The sequence below is a fragment of the Homo sapiens genome, chromosome 7, assembly GCF_000001405.40.
Source record: "Homo sapiens chromosome 7, GRCh38.p14 Primary Assembly".
NCBI classification, from domain to species: Eukaryota; Metazoa; Chordata; class Mammalia; order Primates; family Hominidae; genus Homo; species Homo sapiens.
Genome location: NC_000007.14, coordinates 106,301,902 through 106,328,390, shown reverse-complemented (window position 1 = coordinate 106,328,390; position 26,489 = coordinate 106,301,902). Strand labels below are relative to the sequence as shown.

The 26,489-nt window shown below is 40.4% G+C and overlaps 1 pseudogene, besides 2 other annotated features; it reads right to left on the bottom strand.

Moving 5' to 3' along the window:
- Positions 7,306–8,505: an enhancer, noted in NCBI's record as "MED14-independent group 3 enhancer chr7:105960332-105961531 (GRCh37/hg19 assembly coordinates)". NCBI's record gives its function as "activates an origin of replication core promoter dependent on BRD2, BRD4, P300/CBP and CDK7 cofactors, and independent of MED14, by STARR-seq in HCT116 cells {active_cell/tissue: HCT116}" and the evidence as "EXISTENCE:reporter gene assay evidence [ECO:0000049][PMID:35650434]".
- LARP1BP2 (LARP1B pseudogene 2) lies at positions 12,648–13,166 on the bottom strand (annotated as a pseudogene).
- Positions 14,818–14,957: a silencer, noted in NCBI's record as "silent region_18534". NCBI's record gives its function as "represses an Ori minimal core promoter by ATAC-STARR-seq in GM12878 lymphoblastoid cells {active_cell/tissue: GM12878}" and the evidence as "EXISTENCE:reporter gene assay evidence [ECO:0000049][PMID:35858748]".

Below are 26,489 nucleotides of genomic sequence, written 5' to 3'. Positions count from 1 at the left end.
TTGCAGGTCAGGGCTGAGATTTCCTGTCTTCACAGCCCCTTTAAGTCCAGCCTTCCTCTGTCCTACTTCGCTGACATGCATGCGGGCATGGGCATCTTTCTGCTGCTTCCTTGCCTCTCTAGAGTATACACATCTCATCAAAACTGTCTACAACAGCCTGTCTCCCCAGATATTTCCACATTTTTTCCTGGGGTCTTGCCTCCCCAGGGCTATGCTTGGTAAATAAAGTTTTTTTCTGCTCCTAGATCCCTCGGGCAGGAGTAGGATTTCTGTTTTAATTTTGCTATGCTTTCCTCAGAAGCACTTCGCATAATCTCTTTTCTGGGTTTAGGTGTTTGCACATATAAGAGTCCAAAGACTCAGTAACTGTTCTCTGAATACTGCTGAGGGTTTGTTTGAATAGGAGAAAGGGGACGTGCTTAGAGAAAACAAACACAAACTGAAAATTACAAACATTTTTCTGGCCACGAGAGAAGTATCAGTGACATTCTACTGTAATTCAACGTTTATGAGAAAAAAAATTTCAGAAACATTTAATTTCAGTTAGATATTTTCAATTACAAACATGATCTGAGTCCAAACTCTAACTGGCAGAAGGGAGAAAATGTTGCAGGGAATCTTGCGAGTGAAATTTCAAAACCTCACCCAGGAGAGCTCAGGGCTGCTGTTGCTGGCATGCCCCTGTGTTTGGTACACTCTGGCTTGCAAGTAACAGAAAACCAATCTGAACTAGCTGACTCCGAAGACTGAGATGTCTCATGGAAGGCAAGGGCAGTGACGGCCAAATCCAGGGCCTGGAACACCATCAGCAGCCTTCAATCTCTTCTTACATCATTTTTTCTGTCTCTATTTCTTCCACCCTTGTAACAGCAAACCTAGGAGCATTCAGGAGCCCAAAGCTCCTGAATTTTACCTTAATGGTAGGTTCAGCCATTTGGAAAGAGACTGACTTGAGTCTTATACCAAAGTCCAAATTCCCTGGGAAGAGAACAATTGATCCATTTTAGATCCGGCGTTCACTCCTGCACCAACAAATTGTGGCCAGGGTCTAACCTACATTTGAACTCACCTAGCAGCTCCCAATTAAGCATGTGGAGAAGAAGAAAGGACAGTTCCTAGAAGGAGGAGGGAATACACAGGAAAGGAAATGGGTGAATTCTGGGCACACAAAATAATGGAATCCAGTCAACAAGTCCATGTTAAAGTGTTTTTCCAAGTCCAGCCTGCCCTCACACCCACTCACGGACAAAGTATGGGAGAAATGACAAATAGAAAATTTTCTTTATTAAAACAGTTTAGGAGCCCTGAATCATTGTTTGGTAATGGACTTTTGAAAAAACAACATTCTTTCAGATTACAGAGAAGCGAGGAAAACAGTAAAGAGACAGATCCCACTAATTTGAATGAGGGACAAGCTTAGATTTTCATCTCTGGATATGAAGCCAGAGAAACCTTTTGCCAGAGTGACTCTGAAGATTAATAAAAGTTGAGAGTGGGATGGAAAATAACTCGAAAGGCCCTGCCCCAGTACAGTAATATTTGCTTTACTGTGACTTCATGAAAAGACGTAGTGACATTGCTCACTCTGCCCTTGAGGACAGAGGGACAGAGAGCACATGGGAATGGACCACTGGCTGCTCAGAGCTTGTTTTACAAATCTGAAATATGGGAGATCAAAACAGAAAACCATAAAAGGAAAGACAAGGCCAAATCCTTACACTGTTAACCCCACACGAAACAAACAAATGACCTTAGTAACAGCCCCATTCTTAGTTAAGAAGAGATTTGAGATTTAATTGTTCATATTTACTCAAAAGACTAAGAAAGGATAGACAAGAAGCTAATAATGCTGGTTGCCTGTAAGGAAATGGAATAGCCAGGCTCCAATGGTAACAGAGAAACTTCTTTAGATTAGATTCTTTACATTTTGACCCATATGATAGCTAATTTAAACAATAATTAACACAGTTTAAAAGTATAGGATCATTAATAGATAGTTGGAGAAAAGAATAAATGGAGACCAAGTTACTGGCCAGGCTTTATGTATAAATTTTCTAATAGAAAGAAGGAGCTATTTGGGGGTGCTAAGGCAAGGGGATTCCTCTAGCCCAGGAGTTTTAGAGGCTGCAATGAATTTTGATGGTGCCACTGCACTACAGCCTGGGTGATAGTGTAAGACCCAGTCTCAACAACACCAAAAAAAAAAAAAAAAAGAAGGTTCTTTTGAAAATGCAGCATCTGGATATAAGGATAGTGCAATTTAAAATGCTAGTCCAAATTTATATTCTCAGAAACACTTTCAATGGGTACACTAACAGCAGGTTGTACCTTTCTCTTTGTGATGAGAACATACAAAAAGGAAAAAGTCATCCTTAAAGCTGTCCCATGATCTCCTCCCAGCTTCCCCACCCTGCTTGGCCTCCCACCTTGTCAGCACTGATGTCCAGTGAAGGGATTAGGTGTGTGGTGGCTGGGACTGGTCCCTCTACTCCAACCTGAACATGGGGAACCATCTTTGCACACCTGTACCTATAGGAGGGCCACTCCCTCTGGACACAGAAACACTACAAAATCAAACATTTATTGACAGCTTTCTGTGTGCTAGCCATTACACTATAGACCAGAGTATATAGGTGAATAAAATATAAGTCCCTCTCTAAAAGGTCATGTTCTCTCAGGGCACATAATAAATATGCATAATTTGGCATGGTGATGTTAAAGCCTACTTATTTATGCTATCTTCTTGTTTCAGACACTTAAAAATGAAAGCCTTGGAAGTAATAAAAAAAAAGTCAGCCATTCTCTTACAATAAAAGAGAACTATTCCTCAACACCACTAATTTCTTTTTTATTTATTTATTTATTTATTATTATTATACTTTAAGTTTTAGGGTACTTGTGCACAATGTGCAGGTTAGTTACATATGTATACATGTGCCATGCTGGTGTGCTGCACCCACTAACTCGTCATCTAGCATTAGGTATGTCTCCCAATTCTATCCCTCACCCCTCCCCCCACCCCACAACAGTCCCCAGAGTGTGATGTTCCCCTTCCTGTGTCCATGTGTTCTCATTGTTCAATTCCCGCCTATGAGTGAGAATATGCAGTGTTTGGTTTTTTGTTCTTGCAATAGTTTACTGAGAATGCTGATTTCCAATTTCATCCATGTTCCTACAAAGGACATGAACTCATCATTTTTTATGGCTGCATAGTATTCCATGGTGTATATGTGCCACATTTTCTTAATCCAGTCTATCATTGTTGGACATTTGGGTTGGTTCCAAGTCTTTGCTATTGAGAATAATGCCGCAATAAACATACGTATGCATGTGTCTTTAAAGCAGCATGATTTATAGTCCTTTGGATATATACCCAGTAATGGGATGGCTGGGTCAAATGGTATTTCTAGTTCTAGATCCCTGAGGAATCGCCACACTGACTTCCACAATGGTTGAACTAGTTGACAGTCCCACCAACAGTGTAAAAGTGTTCCTATTTCTCCACATCCTCTCCAGCACTTGTTGTTTCCTGACTTTTTAATGATCGCCATTCTAACTGGCATGAGATGGTATCTCATTGTGGTTTTGATTTGCATTTCTCTGATAGCCAGTGATGGTGAGCATTTTTCATGTGTTTTTGGCTGCATAAATGTCTTCTTTTGAGAAGTGTCTGTTCATGTCCTTCGCCCACTTTTTGATGGGGTTGTTTGTTTTTTTCTTGTAAATTTGTTTGAGTTCATTGTAGATTCTGGATATTAGCCCTTTGTCAGGTGAGTAGGTTGTGAAAATTTTCTCCCATTTTGTGGGTTGCCTGTTCACTCTGATGGTAGTTTCTTTTGCTGTGCAGAAGCTCTTTAGTTTAATTAGATCCCATTTGTCAGTTTTGGCTTTTGTTGCCATTGCTTTTGGTGTTTTAGACATGAAGTCCTTGCCCATGCCTATGTCCTGAATGGTAATGCCTAGGTTTTCTTCTAGGGTTTTTATGGTTTTAGGTCGAACATTTAAGTCTTTAATCCATCTTGAATTGATTTGTATAAGGTGTAAGGAAGGGATCCAGTTTCAGCTTTCTACATATGGCTAGCCAGTTTTCCCAGCACCATTTATTAAATAGGGAATCCTTTCCCCATTGCTTGTTTTTCTCAGGTTTGTCAAAGATCAGATAGTTGTAGATATGCAGCATTATTTCTGAGGGCTCTGTTCTGTACCATTGATCTATATCTCTGTTTTGGTACCACTACCATGCTGTTTTGGTTACTGTAGCCTTGTAGTATAGTTTGAAGTCAGGTAGTGTGATGCCTCCGGCTTTGTTCTTTTGGCTTAAGATTGACTTGGCGATGCGGGCTCTTTTTTGGTTCCATATGAACTTTAAAGTAGTTTTTTCCAATTCTGTGAAGGAAGTCATTGGTAGCTTGATGGGGATGGCATTGAATCTGTAAATTACCTTGGGCAGTATGGCCATTTTCATGATATTGATTCTTCCTACCGATGAGCATGGAAGATTCTTCCATTTGTTTGTATCCTCTTTTATTTCCTTGAGCAGTGGTTTGTAGTTCTCCTTGAAGAGGTCCTTCACATCCCTTGTAAGTTGGATTCCTAGGTATTTTATTCTCTTTGAAGCAATTGTGAATAGGAGTTCACTCATGATTTGGCTCTCTGTTTGTCTGTTGTTGGTGTATAAGAATGCTTGTGATTTTTGTACATTGATTTTGTATCCTGAGACTTTGCTGAAGTTGCTTATCAGCTTAAGGAGATTTTGGGCTGAGACAATGGGGTTTTCTAGATATACAATCATGTCGTCTGCAAACAGGGACAATTTGACTTCCTCTTTTCCTATTTGAATACCCTTTATTTCCTTCTCCTGCCTGATTGCCCTGGCCAGAACTTCCAACACTATGTTGAATAGGAGTGGTGAGAGAGGGCATCCCTGTCTTGTGCCAGTTTTCAAAGGGAATGCTTCCAGTGTTTGCCCATTCAGTATGATATCGGCTGTGGGTTTGTCATAGATAGTTCTTATTATTTTGAAATACGTCCCATCAATACCTGATTGATTGAGAGTTTTTAGCATGAAGGGTTGTTGAATTTTGTCAAAGGCCTTTTCTGCATCTACTGAGATAATCATGTGGTTTTTGTCTTTGGTTCTGTTTATATGCTGGATTACATTTATTGATTTGCGTATATTGAACCAGCCTCGCATCCCAGGGATGAAGTCCCCTTGATCATGGTGGATAAGCTTTTTGATGTGCTGCTGGACTCAGTTTGCTAGTATTTTACTGAGGATTTTTGCATCAATGTTCATCAAGGATATTGGTCTAAAATTGTCTTCTTTGGTTGTGTCTCTGCCCGGCTTTGGTATCAGGATGATGCTGGCCTCATAAAATGAGTTAGGGAGGATTCCCTCTTTTTCTATTGATTGGAATAGTTTCAGAAGGAATGGTACCAGTTCCTCCTTGTACCTCTGGTAGAATTCAGCTGTGAATCCATCTGGTCCTGGATTCTTTTTGGTTGGTAAGCTATTGATTATTGCCACAATTTCAGCTCCTGTTATTGGTCTATTCAGAGATTCAACTTCTTCCTGATTTAGTCTTGGGAGAGTGTATGTGTCGAGGAATTTATCCATTTCTTCTAGATTTTCTAGTTTATTTGTGTAGAGGTGTTTGTAGTATTCTCTGATGGTAGTTTGTATTTCTGTGGGATCGGTGGTGATATCCCCTTTATCACCTTTTACTACTTGTATTTGATTCTTCTCTCTTCTCTTGTGTATTAGTCTTGCTAATGGTCTATCAATTTTGTTGATCTTTTCAAAAAGCCAGCTCCTGGATTCATTGATTTTTTGAAGGGTTTTTTGTGTCTCTATCTCCTTCAGTTCTGCTCTGATCTTAGTTATTTCTTGCCTTCTGCTAGCTTTTGAATGTGTTTGCTCTTGCTTCTCTAGTTCTTTTAATTGTGATGTTAGGGTGTCAATTTTAGATCTTTCCTGCTTTCTCTTGCGGGCATTAAGTGCTATAAATTTCCCTCTACACAATGATTTAAATGTGTCCCAGAGATTCTGGTATGTTGTGTCTTTGTTCTCATTGGTGTCAAAGAACATCTTTATTTCTGCCTTCATTTTGTTATGTACCCAGTAGTCATTCAGGAGCAGGTTGTTCAGTTTCCATGTAGTTGAGCAGTTTTGAGTGAGTTTCTTAATCCTGAGTTCTAGTTTGATTGCACTGTGGTCTGAGAGACAGTTTGTTATAATATCTGTTATTTTACATTTGCTGAGGAGTGCTTTTCTTCCAACTATATGGTCAATTTTGGAATAAGTGCGATGTGGTGCTGAGAAGAAAATATATTCTGTTGATTTGGGGTAGAGAGTTCTGTAGATGTCTGTTAGGTCCGCATGGTGCAGAGCTGAGTTCAATTCCGGGATATCCTTGTTAACTTTCTGTCTCATTGATCTGTTTCATTGATCATTGTTTCTGCCAAGAGATCCGCTGTTAGTCTGATGGGCTTCCCTTTGTGGGTAACCTGACTTTTCTCTCTGGCTGCCCTTAACATTTTTTCCTTCATTTCAACTTTGGTGAATCTGACAATTATGTGTCTTGGAGTTGCTCTTCTCGAGGAGTATCTTTGTGGCGTTCTCTGTATTTCCTGAATTTGAATGTTGGCCTGCCTTGCTAGGTTGGGGAAGTTCTCCTGGATAATATCCTGAAGAGTGTTTTCCAACTTGGTTCCATTCTCCCTGTCACTTTCGGTACACTGATCAGATGTAGATTTGGTCTTTCCACATAGTCCCATATTTCTTGGAGGCTTTGTTCATTTCTTTTTACTCTTTTTTCTTTAAACGTCTCTTCTCACTTCATTTCATTCATTTGTTCTTCAATCACTGATACCCTTGCTTCCACTTGATCAAATCGGCTGCTGAAGCTTGTGCATGTGTCACGTAGTTCTCATGCCATGGTTTTCAGCTCCATCAGGTCCTTTAAGGACTTCTCTGCACTGGTTATCTAGTTAGCCATTCATCTAATCTTTTTTCAAGGTTTTTAGCTTCTTTGCGATGGGTTCAAACGTCCTCCTTTAGCTCAGAGAAGTTTGTTAATACCAATCGTCTGAAGCCTTCTCTCAACTCATCAAAGTCATTCTCTGTCCAGCTTTGTTCCATTGCTGGCGAGGAGCTGCATTCCTTTGGAGGAGAAAAGGTGCTCTGATTTTTAGAATTTTTAGCTTTTCTGCTCTGCTTTTTCCCCATCTTTGTGGTTTTATCTACCTTTGGTCTTTGATGATGGTGACGTACAGATGGGGTTTTGGTGTGGATGTCCTTTCTGTTTGTTAGCTTTCCTTCTAACAGTCAGGACCCTCAGCTGCAGGTCTGTTGTAGTTTGCTGGAGGTCCACTCCAGACCCCTTTTGCAGCGGAGGCTGCAGAATGGCAAATGTTGCTGCCTGATCCTTCCTCTGGAAGCTTCATCTCAGAGGGTCACCCGGCCACCTGGCCATATGAGGTGTCAGTCAGCCCCTACTCGGAGGTGCCTCCCAATTAGGCTACGTGGGGGTCAGGGACCCACTTGAGGAGGCAGTCTGTCCTTTCTCAGATCTCAAATTCCGTGCTGGGAGAACCACTACTCTCTTCAAAGCTGTCAGACAGGGACGTTTAAGTCTGCAGAAGTTTCTGCTGCCTTTTGTTCAGCTATGCCCTGCCCCAAGAAGTGGAGTTTAGAGAGGCAGGCAGCCCTGCTTAAGCTGCAGTGGGCTCCACCCAGTTCGAGCTTCCTAGCCTCCTTGTTTACCTACTCAAGCCTCAGCAATGGTGGAGGCCCCTCTCCCAGCCTCGCGCCACCTTGCAGTTTGCTCTCAGACTGCTGTGCTAGCAGTGAGCGAGGTTCTGTGGGCGTGGGACCCTCTGAGCCATGCATGGGATATAATCTCCTGGTGTGCCATTTGCTAAGGCTGTTGGAAAAGTGCAGTGTCATGGTGGGAGTGTCCCGATTTTCCAGGTACCATCTGTCACAGCTTCCCTTGGCTAGGAAAGGGACTTCCCCAACCCCTTGCACTTCCCAGGTGAGGTGATGCCCCTCCCTGCTTTGGCTCATGCTCCGTGGGCTGCACCCACTGTCTGACAAGCCCCAGTGAGATGAACCCGGTACCTCAGTTGGAAATGCAGAAATCACCCATCTTCTGTGTTGCTCACACCTGGAGCTATAGACTGGAGCTGTTCCTATTTGGCCATCTTGGAAGCAAGATGCTGTTGTGTTTGTTTGCTTGTTTGTTTTAGCTCATTGGCTATCGTTAGTGTTAGTGTATTTTATTTGTGGCCCAAGGCAATTCTTCTTTTTCCAATCCTACTGGAAAAAGAAGAATTAGCAATTCTTTTTCCAATCCTATTGGAAAAAGAAGAATTAGCAATTCTTTTTCCAATCCTATTGGAAAAAGAAGAATTAGCAATTCTTTTTCCAATCCTATTGGAAAAAGAGAATTGGTTTCTTCTTCGTCTTGGGTCAAGGCAAGCCAAAAGATTGGAAACCCCTGCTCTAATCAGACACTTTCATTTTGTCCATGAGGAAATTGAAGTTTAGAGGGGGCAGAATGACTTTACAAAGTTGGAGAGCTAGTTCCTTTGCATTGTTTTAGACGTTGAATCTAAAGGGTTTTTTATTACTGTAACTCAATTTAATTGCAATGGCCTCATCAGTAAATTTTGTGTTAGTCTTGGCTTTACTCACTTTGTCATTCTGTCTTAACCCCCAAGCAATATTCTGATTCATATTTAATATAAGTATCCAACATTTGCTGTCACTTTGTAACTTTATTTGTAATTTTATGGCATTAGCTTCCAAAATCCTTATATTGATTTCTCAAAAAAATATTGAAGATACATTTTAGGAATATTAATGTTGGCATTCTGCTTCAGTCACAGGATTAACAGAGTAAAACTTCTATCATAGGAAGTTTTGAACCAAGAGAAGAGGCTGGCACCATGTTCATTTATCCTCTGCTGTTATGCAAGCATGACTGCAAAAATAAACAGCTTTAATCAGAAATGCTAGCATATGTAGAAACAACAGATTTATAAATAAATGTTATTTGTACATTTCCTTTATCAAGCCTCTGTGGTTTTTGCTTTTAGAGCTAGACATGATAAAACTTGGGTATTGCTTTTCTCCACTCAACTCCCTCTTTGATCTCTCCTCACTAGCATTTCCCTGGCTTGGCCAGATAATTTTTTCCAGTTCACACAGTCTCCTTAGAGTCTCTCAGCCCATTTGGGTCTCCAGCTCTATATCATATTTTTGCAGGATAGTCTCATGACAAAATTTTTATTTAATCTTTACAAATACCTCATAGTGTGTGGCCAATTGTATTTTCAAAAATGGCTATGCCAGTATATCCCAATCCATAAATTCCTGTAGTATGATGTTGACACTCTTCCATCAAAACGTGGGGTCCACGTTTGCTCCTCTCCAATCTGGGTGGGCCTGGGACTATGGTGTATGTGATTCTCCATGACTTCTGAGGGCAAGACAAAAAAGATGATAGAGCTTCTCCCCTGCTCTCCTCCCTTGGGACACGTGCCCTGGGGGCCCTCAGCTGACATGTAGGAAATCCAGCCACTCTGAAGCTGCCATACTGGAGAGAGCACATGGGCAGACTATGTAGAGAGAGACCCATGGAGCCCCAACTTCTCCAGTCCCAGCTGTTTGAGCTGTCCCAGCCCAGGCACCAGATGTAAGGGAGTAAACCTCCAGATGAGTCCAGCCCCAGCTTCCAGCCACAACTAACGCTGAATAGAGCAGAAATGAGCCACTCCAATCCCCACCCAGATTGCTGATTTGTGAGCAAAATAGATGTGTTCTTGTGTTAAACCATGAAGTTTTGGGTCCATTTGCTACAAGCCATAGTAACTGGAACAGCAAGTAATGTTACCTTTGGATTCATTTGGGTACAGGTAATTTCCAATACTTATTTAAGCTTGAAAGCAAAAGTCTCGGCTTATAACTGAAAGTCCAGGGCTCATGCTGTTGTGCCTTTAACAAGGGCCATAATGATGTCCCTAGGACCCAGGACCTTTGCATGTTTCCGCTCTCTCACAACAGCACTGGCCACACGCTCAGACTTCATGAGTTGGGCAGGAAGTCCGAGAACTCCAGACATTTGTCCTGTCAGATTCGAGCTCACCCACAGCAGCAGAGGGAAGTCCACTTTCACAATCAAACAAAGGCCATAAGATTAATCCTACTGGCTACATTTGATTTGGCCCCATCCCTAAACCTCGGAATGTGCTGATCATCCAGGCTACAGGCACCTACATGGAAAAGCAGGAAGGAATTCAAGTTCACCAAAGTACAGGAACTGACAGAAGGAGAAAGATGTTTCTCCCAAGGATATTTCTAGATTCTGGTACAAAAGAAGGATAAAAGGACACTAGCCAGACAAAAAACATACAAACAAAATACCCACATATCCCCAGACTATGTATGGGAAACAGTTCAACAGTTTTCCTCAACCATTGCCCTACCATTAGGTAAATAACTTTGTCATTTATTGCCCCACAATAAACTGAGTTAGTATTTGAACACGTGTTTGATGCAAAAGTTTATTTTCTTCACCCCAAACCACATGGAATAGCATTTCTACTCTTTACTTCTGATTTCTTATAATTCATACAGCATGCTGAGGATAGAAACTTTATGTGAAACCAGAGAGAAGAGGTAGTTTTCAATTCTACTCTGTTTAATGTACCTTTTTCCTTAAGCTTTCTCCAGCATTCTAGTTTAATATATATGAATATTTTGGCATCAGCCTGCTGTCACTAGTATTGGCTTAATATTCTACACAGAAAAATGTCTTCAGAACATTTTTATGGGACTTATTCTATATAAACATAACAGCAATTTAAAAAATTTTTGTAGCAGCTTTATTAAGATACGATTCAAATATGATATAATTTATCCATTTAAAGTATTCAATTCCGTGGGGTTCTTAGTGTATAAGCAGGGCTGTGTAACCATCAACATAATCAATTTTGAACATTTTCATCACCACAAAAAAGAAACCTTAGCATTGATTCCCCATTTCCTCTCTGCCTGCTCCCCACCACCAGCTCTATGTCTCTATGGCTTGCCTTATTCTGGGCATTTCATATAAATGGAATCATACAATAAGTTGTCCTTTGTGAGTGGCTTCTTTCACTTAGCATATGGTTTTCATGTTGTAGTATGTATCAGTACTTCATTTGTTTTTATTGCCAAATAATATTCCATTACATGGATATACCACATTTTAATTATCCATTCATCAGTTGGTATACATTGGAGTTCTTTCCACTTTCACAATGCTGCTAAGAATATTCATGTACAAGTTTTTGTTTAGACACATATTTTCATTTCTCTTGGGTATATACCTATGATAAGAGGTGCTGGATAACTATGTTTAGCCTTCTGAGGAACTGCCAGACTGTTTTCCATTTTACATTCCCACCACCAGGTTATGAGTGTTTCAATTTCTTTCCATCCTTGCCAAAACTTGTTAGTATCTGTCATTTTGATTATAGCTATGCCAGCCAGTGCTAGGTAGTGTGGTATCTCATTGTGGTTTCTATTTGTACTCCCCTGGTGGCTAATGATGCCAAACATCTTTTCATGTGCTATTGTTCACTTGTAAATCTCCTTTTGAGAAATATCTATTCAGATTATTTGCCCATTTTTAAATTGAGTTATTTGTCTTTTTATTATTGAGTTGTAAAAGTTGTTTATGCATTTAATTCCCTTATCAGACATGACTTGCAAATATTTTCTCGCATTCTTGGGTTGCCTTTTCACTTTCTTGATGGTGTCTTTTGAAGTACGAAAGTTTTTAATTTGTATTTTCTTTGAGACAGGGTCTCTCTCTGTCACCCAGGCTGGAGCGCAGCAGCATGATAATAGCTCACTGCAGCCTTGACCACGTGGGCTCAATTGATCCTCCCACCTCAGCCTCCTGAGTACCTGGGACTACAGGTACACACCACTACACCCAGCTAATTTTTAAATTTTTTTGTAGAGATGAGGTTTCTCCATGTTGCCCAGGCTTGTCTTGAACTCCTGGGCTCAAGTGATCCCCCTGCCTCGGAAAGTGTTGGAATTACAGGCATGAGCCACCACCTGGCTGAAAATTTTAAATTTTTATGAAATCTAATCCATTTTTTTCTTTTGTCATTTGTGCTTTTGGTGTCATAAATGTTTTAACCAAGTTCAAAAAGACTTATGCCTATGTTTTCTTCTAAGAGTATTATAGTTTTAGGCTCTTTGAGTTAGGTGTTTCATCCACTTTGAATTAATTTTTGTATATTGTGTGTGGTAAGAATCCAATTTCATTCTTTTGTTTGTGGCTATCCAGTTGTCCCAGCACCATTTGTTGAAAAGACTACAGTCTTCTGTCCCATTAAATAGTCTTAGCATCCTTGTAAAAAATCAGTTGACCACATGGTTTGTTTCTGGACTCTTAATTCTGTTCCACTGACCTATATGTCTGTTTTTATGCCAGTACCACACTGTCTTGATAACTTTAACTTTATAGTAAGTTTTAAAATCAGGAGGTACGAGTCTTTCAACTTCATTCATTTTTTTCAAGATTATTTTGGCTATTCTGGTTCCCTTGGATTTCCATGTGAATTTTAGATCAGCGTGTCGATTTCTTTATGGCTGTATGTTTGTTTTCATCCTCTTCCATCCACAAGTCTTATTCATAATGACATAGGCCATTTTTGCCTGAAACCTGTGGTTGCCTGTTTGATCTTATCCAGGATGTTTTCTCAGGTAAAATGATAGCTGAGTTCAAATCAACATCTTGTTGAAATTCAGCTCATCAATTTCATAATCTGAATCATTACGAGACCAATCAGTAAATGTGTTTCTTTTTCTTCTATTTGTTGCGTCTGTTCATCAAATAAAAAATCAAGTTCTTCCTGTTCTTCTGGAGGATATAGTTGACTTGATACATCATCAGATACTGGTGTTGAGTCCTTCAATTTCACTGGAAATGGACAATGTCTCTTTTTTACTTTTATCCAAGGCTCTAGTCCAAGTCAGAGAAACTGGTAGACACATCTCTAGGCATTGCCTGAAGATTATTTGTTTCAGTATATTTCTTTGGACGCAGTGGACTTCCAATTCTTGGAGAATTTAGGGCAGACTCTGTATGCAAACCAAAGGCTATGTGAACTCAGAACAACATTTTGTGTGTGTGTTTTTCACTTGAAATTTAAGTAAGTATGCAGAAATGCAGTATGAAGAATTACTATTGATTGTATTCAGTTAATGCAAAGTAATTGTAATTTTTGCCATTTTTTTAATAACAAAAACCGCAATTACATTTGCACCAACTTAATAATAGAATGAATCTTGGCTCAACCCTACATGAATTTCCTGGTAGCAAATGGAAAAGAGGCATATGATCCCTTTCATGCACCACTCACATCTTGCCCCCTAAAGCACTCCGCTCACTGCTTGCTAAACTGATGGCTCATTCATCAACTGGCAGAATCCTGCCTTAAACACATGTATCTATGTCTTACCCAGGAAGTAGGAGCTTCTGGAGTAGAGGATCCCAATCAGTGGTAGGCTGGAAGAGAGAAGGTCTCAGCAGGAAAATCACATGGAGCTTTGTCAAAAAAACCTTGTGTCTGCTGTTCACCCCCTATACCACCCTATTCCCAGGATATCAGAGTAGATGTAAAAGAAATGGGAAGATCAGACATATGGGAAAATTCTCCAGGTCAATCTGATGCCCATTATTCTATAATCACCCAGGAAGAAACAAGGGTACCATAAGCCAATAGAAGCCAAGCCTCCATTCTTGGGAGAAGAGGAGATTGACAGAAAGGGGATCAGGTTTAAAATTAACACTTTCTTTAATTTGAAGCATACAGAAAACGAGAAGCAGAAATGGGCTATTCAGTCTTGCCAACCAAATGGGCAGAAGCAATTAAAGGACAAGGAGAGTGGAATAAAAATGTTTTTTAAAAAGACAAACTTCTATCAAAGACAATTGATAACAACAAAAAAAAAATAAGAAAAGGAGAGAGAGAAAGGAGAAAGTTAAGAGCTTGTTCAGGGAAGTTAGAGTCAGGATACGGAAACTTACATAAGAGACTACTGACTCTAAGGTGGAAGTACAGACACAGGACCAGAAAGAACCCTTGGAGAATGACTTCAGTTTTATTTTTGAGGAAGTGAACAAAGATTTGAGAAAAACCAGAAAGAAGAATGGAGAAGTAAGTTTAAGGAACTGTATAAGAGAAAAGCTGGAGAAAGAGAAATTGAAAGAAAAGAACAGCATAAAATGTACATAATAAAGGCACTTTCAATGTAAGACATCCTATTTCCGTGTATACTAGGCCAACCTATCTTTATTGGGGGTTGAACAAAGTTAGGTTTATAAACATTAGAGCTGTGCCTCACAGAGAGAATAAGAATCGAATATAAAAAGCATTCAATTAATTAATCACTAAAGACCCTGTTCAGAATTTCAAGAATCTACTGGTTAAACTGTTTTAAATGGGGGGCTGTAAGGGATTTGTCAATATTTCCCTAAAGGAAGTGACTAAACAGGAAGAAAATACAACGTGGACTAAAGGTACTTCTGAATTTTTGTGTGCACTTTGTGTACTTTCAACTCTGATAAAATCATGCTTACTGTGTTTTCAATTGTTTTATTAGGCACTATTTGTAAAACCTGAAATTTTTCTTTTCCAGCTCCACAGATGTTGTATAATTTAATTAACCAACATTAAATGGTTTTCATGACATACTTTGTTATTTACATCATTATTTTTCTTTCTTATTGACATTCCTGTGAACCAGCTCATCACAGTATTGAGTGGACCACATGGAAACCACAGAGACACTAGTGTAGAGCGGCTGGAGTCAATGGTTCCAGTTTCAAACCCCACTCCACTGCTTGCTAGACATGTAATTCAGCACAAGGTATCTAATCTCTCTGTTCTTGTGAAGTAATCCCCACCTCAAAGGATTGGTATAAAGAGTAAATTATGAAATTTTTGTAAAATGTTTGTCACAATGCCTAGTACATAGAAAATGCCCAATAAACAGCGGTTGTTGCTCTTTTTATTATTTAGAATAACTTGTCCTAAAAACATAAAATGCCCGTGTTCAAGAGAAAAGAAAGGAAATAAACAGTAGCATTAGGAAGAAGGAACAGACTTAGTCTCTAAATTTTTAAGTGGGGATGGTATAAACACCAGGCAAAGTGACTGTGCATGTTAAATGGAACAGCATATGTAAACTACCCAGCACAATGCTTGGAACATGACTGGTCGACATACTTAATGAATGTCTGTTTCCTTCTCCCACCCTATCTTTTTTCAAATCTTCTTAAAACTTGAATTGCATAGCACTGCAAGGCTGTGGCAACTATTCATCTATTTGGGCTTTTTCAAGAATATTTCCATGTAAACCACTTAGAAGATGCACAGAGGGGACCTTACACTACCAATTAAGAACTTTTTTAAAAATCTAATTTAAATTTATGTTGTTTATATAAACACAAACTCTATCTTGGTATGAACAGCAAATTAGGTAATTTTTGTAAAATGAAAACTTTCTAGCAATAATTTTTAAAATGGCTTTATCCTTAAAATTTCTAACCCTTGGCTGGTGTTCCCAAGAAGGAAGTATAGTAATTCAGTATTTATTATGAAATCAAGTTCTTCATCCTTACCATATTCGGAACCATGTTTTTACTTTAATGCTTACACATAGCCTTGTAAATATTTAATTTTGCACATACCTAACTCTGTAAATACATTTCTTTCCAAGTAGTTTCAGATGACACTTTTACCACTAACATTTTATACAATTTCCTAGAAACTCCTGCATTAATTCCACCTATTTTTATCAGCTTCTCAAAATATATTTATTTACTTCTATAATTTCCTACAAATACAGAATTTTGAGCTGAAGAGGAACACTGACATCATTTGGTTCAAATCTCTCATTTTACGAAAAGGAAATAAATTCACTAACTTCCAGTTATTGTAACCAAGTTATGCCCTAAGAATGGACAGAACGAATAGCCAGTTACAAGGTAAGATTTTAGCCTCAGGCTCATACCAGCTGATGACGAATCTCTCCCCTGCCATTGTATCACAGTGCCTAAACCTCCCACCCTTAGCTATTATATCCTATTAAGGCATTAAAGTTCCCCATCAAAACTTGAACTCTAATCAGCCATTGATACTGATGCATTGATTTAAAGAAAAAATGTACAAATCATACAGCAACCTATTAGAAAGAGATATAGAATAGGAGTTTTGAAGGATGCGGAAGGAACCAGGAAAAGTTTGATTTATTCAGCCAACATTTGTAGAATTTATATAGCCTGCCATGCACTGTACTGAGATACCAAAAGGAAGCATGGTCTCACCTTCAAGGCACATCTAACTAGAAAGCATTCTTGTAAAATAACCCTGTGCAATGAGATGAGGACTACTATAGAGGCATGTACAGGTTAATGAGGGTGCAGAGGGTAGAGATTTGTCCCATCGTATAAGGCAGAAAAAGAACCGAAAGGGCGATATTTAAGCTTGGCCCAGAGGATATGTGGCATTTATCGAGTGCCAGTATATGGACTGTGAAGCCAGATTGAGTGGGTTTGAAACCTACCACCTCTTACTGACTTTAAACAAGTATGTAGCCTTTCTGTACCTCAATTTTATCACCTGTAAAATTAGGATAATAGAATCTACCTTGTATAACTACCAAGTGTAAGTTACATATAACTTGTATAAGTAATATATAAATTAATAAATGTAAAGCACTGAGAAAATGCTAGCTATTATTGTGGTTTCACCTATTGGTAAAATAGGATTAAGGGTCATAGACTGGGCCACAACACCAGAGTGGTGCTGGGTAGAAATGGGCTCTTTAATTGCTTTAAATTGAGAAAGAGAATGGTGCTCTATCAGCAACCAGTAGTGGAGTCTGGGCACACCCACACTGGGCTAAGAAGGGAGAATGTATGACAGCCATAACCATACCAAAGTCCCACAGGCAAATTGTATGCATTTAATGTGAGGACTTATCCTTACTAGAATGGACCTTCAGATCAAATATAAATAATTGAAAAAAACATCCTTTGGGTAGCATTGGTATGTTTCCAAACAAAAAGACCTTGGAAGCTTGATATGGGGGAGAAGCCAGAAAGAAAGGGGAAAATGACGCAGAATGGGGAGCCTGGAAATCTGTGTTGCCTACTTCACAACTGAGCCACTAATTTAAATGTGCACTTGAAAGCAGGGTTAGAAGAAGCTGATGTGTGCAGCGTGGCTACCCCTGGGCTAGGGGTGAGGCAGACGTAGAAAGGCCTTGATGCTGACCAAGTGAGGGAAGGGATACCAACGTGGAAGTGGGATCTGAGAGGGCAAGAGGCAAGGGTGGTCTTCAGCACCAAGAGAGGTGTTGATGTAGTTTTGGATATTTATCCCCTCCAAATCTCATGTTGAAATGTGATCTCCAGTATTGGAGGTAGGGCCTAGTTGGAGGTGTTTGGGTCATGAGAGTGGGTCCCTCATTAATGGCTTGGGGCCGCCACATGGTAATGAGTGTGTTCTCACTCTTACTAGTTACCGTGAGATCTGATTGTCTAAAAGCCTGGAATTGCCCTTGCTCCCTGTCTCACTATGTGCCAAGCCTGCCCTCCCTTTGCCTTCCACCATGAGTAAAAGCTTCTCTGAGGTCTTCCCAGAAGCCAAGCAGATGCTGGAGCCATGTTCGTACAGCTTACAGAACCATGAACCAAATAAACCCCTTTTCTTTATAAATTACCCAACCTCAAGTATTCCTTTTTAGCAATGCAAAATGGACAAACACAGGTGTTTTCATAAAAACTGGAAAGTTCAATCATCAGTCAGTGAGCCTGGTGTCTGGATTGGGCTTTTGCTGAGATGTGTTGGTATCGCACAGAAACATCTAACAAGTCCCTTCTCATAACCCAACATGAGAAGATTGATTTGGAAGGTTTGGCTGTGGTTCAACATTTTATTTTCTCAGTCTATAAAGTTCAAGACTGAATAGTTGCTCAGTAAGTCCAACATAACCAATTTTTCCTCTGGCACAGAGAGACGCAGGACCATTGCATGTGATGGGGGAGCCTGTGCACAGCCTGCAGAAGGGCTCCAAGCTGGGGATGAACAGGGATGGATGTAGCCTTCTCTGTTTGCCAAGATGTAGAAAAGGAGCCTTCTAGTAGCTTGTATCACAGTACTAAATGCTTTAATTGTGATTATAAGGTTTGGCTCTGTGTCTTCACCTAAATCTCATCTTGAATTGTAATACAGGAGGGACCTGGTAGGAGGTGATTAGATCATGGGGGCAGTTTTCTCCATGCTGTTTTTCTAATAGTGAGTGAGGGCTCACAAGAACTGATGGTTGAAAAGTGTGGCACTTCCCTTCACTCTCCTTCTCCTGCCACCATGTAAGACATGCCTTGCTTCCCCTTCACTTTGTACCATGATTGTAAGTTTCCTGAGGCCTTCCCAGCCACACAGAACTGTAAGTTGATTAAAACTCTTTTCTTTATAAATTATCCAATCTCAGGTAGTTCTTTATAGCAATGTAAAAATGGACTAATACATCTGACTATGAGAACTGCTTTCTGTTTATTCACTTAAGTCTAAGGTAGTAATAGTATGTTTGTGTTTAGGAATCATTTGTACCTATAAACACACACATTGGAATCATATGTGCCACAACAAGATGAGCACACTATGAGAGGCCTAAGGACATGGGGCCTGATGCATGTTTCTCATCTCCCATGACCTCATGGCCTGCAGTCATCACTGGGTGGAATTTAAAGCACTGTCTCACTTTCTTCCTCATGGTGTCAGTGTACTGACAGATACTCTCAAGAGAGGTGATTGAAGAGAGTTTCATGAAGGATGTTTTACAAAAGTGTGAGCAGGGTTAAGGGAAACCAGCAAGGTATGGTGATTCAGCCATGGTTGGCAATCTCTAGGCCAGAAGTAACTACAGAAGGAGTAGTTGCCAGAATTTCCAGGGTAAGCTTTGTGGAAGGGATGAGCTGCTCTTCAGGAGCAATGACCTTCTATAGAGAAGAAGCACAGTCATGGTGAAGTGTGCCGTTTCTTTTGTATAGTGCCAACATCACAACCCCTGTGCCACTCAAAGAAGAATGTTTTGGAGTTGAGGTCAAATGGATTCTTCTTTCTTCTTCTCTCTCAATTTTTGAAAGTCATTATGCATATTTAAATTGCATATTTAGATTCTGACTTTTTTGTGTAGGTCTTTGTTTTTCTGGTAGTTCTGATTGCATCTAGTTTTTTGTTTGTTTGTTTTGAGAAGAAATATCTTCCACTGCGTATGGTGGCTCATGCCTATAATTCTAGCACTTTGGGAGGTCAAGGTGGGAGGATCACTTGAGCCCAGGAGGTCCATACACCTGTGGTCCCAGCCACTCAGGAGTCTGAGGTCAGAGAATAGCTTGAGGCCAGGAGGTCAAGGTTGCAGTGAGCCATGATTGTGCCACTACACTCCAGCCTGGGCAACAGAGTGAGACCCGGTTACAAATGGAGTCAAGCCTCTTACTCATGCTAGATATTACATGAAATTCATTCCATTTTTCTTCTTCTTGAAGAACACTGACTTTTAATTTGGATGTATTGCTTTCTAGGCCTGAGGTACAAATGTCATTCTGAGATTTCCTTTGTTAAAAAAAAAAAAAAACAGATTATAAGAATCATAAGTACTTTGTTACTGGGTTAGTCCAGTCTTTTATCTCACATTGTCTTTTTCTTAGATTTTTCACCTTTGCTTAGCAGAATAATATTATTAAGCAACATGCAAAAAAAGATACAGCAGGGACCTTTTTTTTGAAATGGTACATTTTTCTACTTAATTGTAAAATGTCTTACCTGGTTAATGTTCAGTGGGTCCTTGTATTTCTTGCTGGCTGATAAAAGATGGGATACCAATCTTCAGTTACAGATTAGCTCATCTTTAGATGTAATGTATTCTGAAAACCATGTTTTCAGTCACCTAGAAGTAGGATAAATTCTTGACAGCATGAGTATTATTTCAGTTGCTCAGATGCTGTTGTTTTTCACCATTTCAGTCTATGCAGAAACCACTGCCTTCAGGGTAACAGAGAAGCACTGGTAGTGCCAAATAAGGCAGCAGCAACGATGAAAAGGGAGAACTGCCTGTACCTCATCTTCCCCAATTGGCTGTGATCAAGACTTTAGCCAAAACATTGAATCCCACAAAGACAGCTAGGGGAGATATAAAACAACATTGGCAAAGAGTCCTTGACTTAAAGGACTCCATCCCCTAAAAAGCACATGCCACAAATGTATTTTAAAAAGAAAATGGCCTTGTACATAATGTTAGAATAATGATAGCAGGAGCAAATGACCTAAATGGTCCTGCTCCATTTTATTTTCATTCACTGAGCCAAAAACAATAAACAAAAAAACAGTCATCAACATGCATCTACTGAACAAGGTTCCAGAACACCTAACTTTTCTGAGCATGGACAGGATGCTGAGAATATGGGAGGCCAAGTGGCTCTCCGAGGAGGAATGGAGAAGAAATGGTGGGTAGAGCTGACCAGGTCTTTTTCAAAAGCATTTGGGAAGAACTGGTTAACAAATATTTACTAGTAGCTACTCTAGGCCTAGCATTGTGCTAGGAGCTTTGAGGCACATATTAAATTAAAGGGGCTCCCTGACCAGTCAGCCAATTTTTCCTATCCAAACAGCTTACACTCAGCCAGAAGAGGTCTACTAAAGGAAATCATGCTGCCCTGGTGAGTGGTGTGAAAGAACAACACAAGAGGTGCAATCACGTCTAAAAGGTGGTCCTGACCTAAAGTTGATTGTCATACATTTGTAGCAATTGCTACAAATCTAGGCCGCTCAAAATTCAACACGTGCCTCTGGTCAACTTCCTCTCCCATGCCCCACAAAATCGACTTCAATTCTCCATTCGCCTCACATCTGTTCCCTCCTTGCTCTCAGCAGACGACATTGATTCACAGATCATCAAGCAAAAGGAAGCCATTAAGTCTGGACCATTTCCCATTTCCTACCATAACTCCTAACATAATTGTACCCACACCCACTCTCTTTTCTCCTCTGGCATTTACAATACTGACTTTTAATTATTATTTAAATATCATCAACCATTTCCCAGCTTAAAAGCTTTTGATGAATTTCAATTGCTCTAAAAAATAGGGCCAAAATTTACATCATGTATATGATGTGGCCACTGACCACTTTTCTAGCCTTTTTTTGTCCATACTCTTTCCTCATGGAAGTGACTGTCAGCCCTCTGGTCACTTTATCTTTCTTCTGGTCACTTTATCTTTCTGTCATTTCTGTCCTGCCTCAGGACACTTGCATAAAGTGCTCATTCTCCCCAAATACTCTTTTTTCTTCTCCTTAAGTGTATCTAGTTGATTTCTCCTCTTGCAGATTTCAGCTCCCACATCACTTTCTCAGGGAAGCAGTCTCAGACTAGGTCAGGATCACCCTTTAGACATTATTGCACCTCTTGTATCATTCTTTCATACCACTCACCACAGCTTATAACTAATACTTAATCGCTGCCTCACACACTAGACTGTAAGCTCAGTGAGAGCGGGAACAGGGTCAGTTTTCTCATCACCAGCCCTAGCCCCTTGCACGGCACTTGTACTTGGCACAAAGTAGATGCTAAATACATAAACAAGTCAGTAATGACATTTTACTGTGCAAGGCAGGCAGCCAATACGAGGGTAAGAATGATATTAATTCTATGCCTTGGCAATAAATACAAAAGGACTCAAGGAAAAAAATCAATATGAATACAATTTCTAGTGACATATTTATGAACCTTTTAGGAACTTGACAGGCGGGTGGTTGGGAAAGAATATATAACTCCATGCCATGTCTGCTGCAAAACTGTCAGATTTGCTCTGAAAAGGTAAAACTTCCAATAATAGATTCTACAGGAAAAGTTGTGGGGGTGAGGGGGTTGTTGAATGGAACAAGAAAAGAATAGCAGTTTATATTAAAATGCTATCTTTTAGACTAAATTGTCATTAGATCTCTTTGTAAAATAGATCTACCATCCTCCTACCCAAAACACGTAGAAAAAAATGTTTTTAAAAAATAATGGATCACAAATAAAAAGCATGTGAGAGAGAAAGCTGAAGGTAGGAAACTATGGTCTATACTTTGTACAAGAGAAAACCATCCCAGGAATGCAAACAATTGTGGTAATACTTTAAACCAGGTGTTGGGGAACAATTTCTGTTAAGGATCACATTGAAAGTATTTTGGGCAGAGTAGGGACTAAGTGTGAGGAAGCTGGTGAGTACAATTCAAGGCAGTGTTAATGCTCGGGGTCATGCAAGTGCAGGGCCAGCCTTAAAAAGGAGTGCATCCATATTGCACCCTGGGCACCTCTCTTTCCTCACCTAGTCTCAGCCCTGTGAGTCAGGCAGTCTCTGTAGCAATTAACTCTTCCAGGGCAGGAGAAGGCAGCACAGATGCATACGTGAACAAACATTGATGTGTTTCAACCAAACATCCTTTACAAAAACCTTTACAAAAATAGGCAGCAGAGTAGGTTTTGCCCAAAGGCCATAGTGGCTGACCCCTGCTCCACGCTCAAGATCCACAAATGCAAGGACATGCTTGGGCAAGAATATGAAAGACTGCAGTAAAAAGAACGGGACCTCAGATGAGACTTCTGCCCTTTTAGCATGGCTTGCTCGACTCTATACTAAGCAGTAGACAGTATTGGCATGTTCAAAAATGTCATTTCCACCTCTTATATTTGAATTCAATTGTGACTGACTAAAAATTCTAATTTAAAATTAATTCTCCTTCAGAACTAGAGATACTGCTTGTTGTCCTCCAGTATTTCGCATTGCTGATGCAAAGTCCATTAGCATTCTGCTTCTTATTCTTCAGTAAGCAACTTACCCTCTTTCCTCTGGCAACTTTTAGGATTTTCTCTTGATCTCCAGAGGAAAGGAAAAAAATTAACAAGGGGGAATATTAACTGGGGAGCATAAGAGAAAATGTCAGGATGTGCCCCAATAATATGAATGAATTAAGTTCTTCTATTGACAGGAAAAAAAACTCAGTATTTTTTTTAAAAAATCCAGTCATATGCTTTTTATTAGAGACGTATCTAAAATAAAATGACCCAGAACAATTGAAATAAAGTTTTGGAAAGAAAATAGCTAAAGTAAATGCCAATAAAAAGAAAATACCGTGATGTTAATTTGCATGCAATAAAATTCAAGATGAAAAATCATTACATAAAAAAAGGGGAATATTTTATATTAATGGAAGAAAAATCTATGAAAAAAGTAGAACAGTAAAAATGCTTAATCTGACAATATGACAGGGAAAGCATAAAATTGAAAATGTTAACTAATACAGAAAGAAATTGATGGGGTTGCGGGCAAGATGGCTGAACAGGAACAGCTCTGGTCTGCAGCTCCCAGCAAGATCAACACAGAAGGTGGGTGATTCCTGCATTTCCAACCGAGGTATCTGGCTCATCTCATTGGGACTGGTTAGACAGTGGATGCAGCTCACAGAGGGTGAGCCCCAAAACAGGGTGGGGCATCACCATATCCAGGAAGTTCAAGGGGTTGGGGAACTCCCTCCCCTAGCCAAGGGAAGCTGTGAGGGACTGTGCCATGAGGAATAGTGCACTCCAGCCCAGATATTGTGCTTTTCCCAGGGTCTTCTCAGCCTGCAGACTAAGAGATTCCCTCCAGTGCCTATGCCACCAGGGACCTGGGTTTCAAGCACAAAACTGGATGGCCATTTGGGCAGACACAGAGCTAGCTACAGGAGTTGTTGTTGTTTTTTTTTTTTTTTTTTTCATACCCCGGTGGCACCTGGAATGCCAGTGAGACAGAACTGTTCACTCCCCTGGAAAGGGGGCTGAAGCCAGGGAGCCAAGTGGTCTAGCTCAGCAGATCCCACCCCCACAGAGCCCAGCAAGCTAAGATCCACTGGCTTGAAATTCTCGCTGCCAGCACAGCAGTCTGAAGTCGATCTGGGACGCTTGAGCTTGGTTAGGGGAGGCTACAATAGGCGGTTTTCCCCTCACAGTGTAAACAAAGCCACCAGGAAGTTTGAACTGGGCAGAGCCCACCACAGCTCGGCAAAGCCACTGTAGCCAGACTGCCTCTCTAGATTCCACCTCTCTGGGCAGGGCATCTCTGAAAGAAAGGCAGCAGCCCCAGACAGGGACTTATAGATAAAACTCCCATCTCCCTGGGACAGAGCACCTGGGGGAAGGGGCAGCTGTGGGTACAGCTTCAGCAGACTTAAATGTTCCTGCCTGCCAGCTCTGAAGAGAGCAGCGGATCTCCCAGAACAGTGCTCAAGCTCTGCCAAGGGACAGACTGCTTCCTCAAGGGGGTCCCTGACCCGTGTGCCTCCTGACTGGAAGACACCTCCCAGTAGGAGCCAACAGACACTTCATAAAGGAGAGCTCTGGCTGGCATCTGGCGGGTGCCCCTCTGGGACGAAGCTTTAGGAGGAAGGAACAGGCAGCAATCTTTGCTGTTCTACAGTCTCCACTGGTGATACCCAGGCAAACAGGGTCTGGAGTAGACCACCAGCAAACTCCAGCAGACCTGCAGCAGAGAGGCCTGACTATTAGAAGGAAAACTACCCAACAGAAAGGAACAGCATCAACATCAATGAAAAGGATGTCCACAAAGAAACCCCATCTGAAGGTCACCAACATCAAAGACCAAAGGTAGATAAATCCACGAAGATGAGGAAAAAATCAGCACAAAAAGGCTGAAAATTCCAAAAACCAGAACTCTTCTTCCCCTCCAAAGGATCACAACTCCTCACCAGCAAGGGAATAAAACTGGACGGAGAATGAGTTTGATTAATTGACAGAAGTAGGCTTCATAAGGTGGGTAACGACAAACTCCTCCGAGCTAAAGGAGCATGTTCTAACCCAATGCAAGGAAGCTAAGACCTTGAAAAAAAGTTAGAGGAAGTGCTAACTAGAATAACCAGTTTAGAGAAGAACATAAATAACCTGATGGAGCTGAAAAACACAGCACAAGTACTTCATGAAGTATGCACAAGTATCAATAGCCGAATCGATCAAGTGGAAGAAAGGATATCAGAGATTGAAGATCAACTTAATGAAATAAAGCATGAAGACAAGATTAGAGAAAAAAGAATGAAAAAGAATGAACAAAACCTTCAAGAAATATGAGACTATGTGAAAAGACCAAACCTACATTTGATTCCTGCCTCAAAGTGACAGGGAGAATGGAACCAAGTTGGAAAACACTCTTCAGGATATTATTCAGGAGAACTTCCCCAACCTAGCAAGACAGGCCAACATTCAAATTCAGGAAATACAGAGAATACCACTAAGATACTCCTCAAGAAAAGCAACCCCAAGACACATAATTGTCAGATTCACCAAGGTTGAAATAAAGGAAAAAATGTTAAGGGCAGCCACAGAGAAAGGTTGGGTTACCCACCAAGGGAAGCCCCTCAGACTAACAGCGGATCTCTCTGCAGAAACCACACAAGCCAGAAGAGGGTGGGGGTCAATATTCACCTTTCTTAAAGAAAAGAATTTGCAACCCAGAACTTCATATCCAGCCAAACTAAGCATCATAAGTGAAGGAGAAATAAAATCCTTTACAGACAAACAAATGCTGAGACATTTTGGCACCACCAGGCCGGCCTTATGAGAGCTCCTGAAGGAAGTACTAAATATGGAAAGAAAAAACTGGTACCAGTCACTGCAAAAACATACCAAATTGTAAAGACCATCAACACTATGAAGAAACGGCATCAATTAACGGGCAAAATAACCAGCTAACATCATAATGACAGGATCAAAATCACACATAACAATATTAACCTTAAATGTAAGTGGGCTAAATGCCCCAATTAAAAGACAAAGACTGGCAAATTGGATAAAGAGTCAAGACCCATGAGTGTGCTGTATTCAGGAGACCCATCTCACATGCAAAGACATACATAGGCTCAAAATAAAGAGATGGAGGAATATTTACCAAGCAAACGGACAGCAAAGAAATGCAGGGGTTGCAATCCTAGTCTCTGATAAAACAGACTTTAAACCAACAAAGATCAAAAAAGACAAAGAAGGACATTACATAGTGGTAAAGGGATCAATGCAACAAGAAGAGCTAACTATCCTAAAAATATATGCACCCAATACAGGAGGACCCAGATTCATAATGCAAGTTCTTTTTTTTCTTTTTTTTTTGATACAGAGTTTTGCTCTTGTTGCCCAGGCTGGAGGGCATTGGCTTGATCTCAGTTGACTGCAACCTCCCCCTCCTGTTTCAAGCGATTCTCCTGCCTCTGCCTCCCATGTAGCTGTGATTACAGGCATTCATGCCACCACACCCGGCTAATTTTGTATTTTTACTAGAGATGGGGTTTCTCCATGTTGGTCAGGCTGGTCTCGAACTCCCAACCTC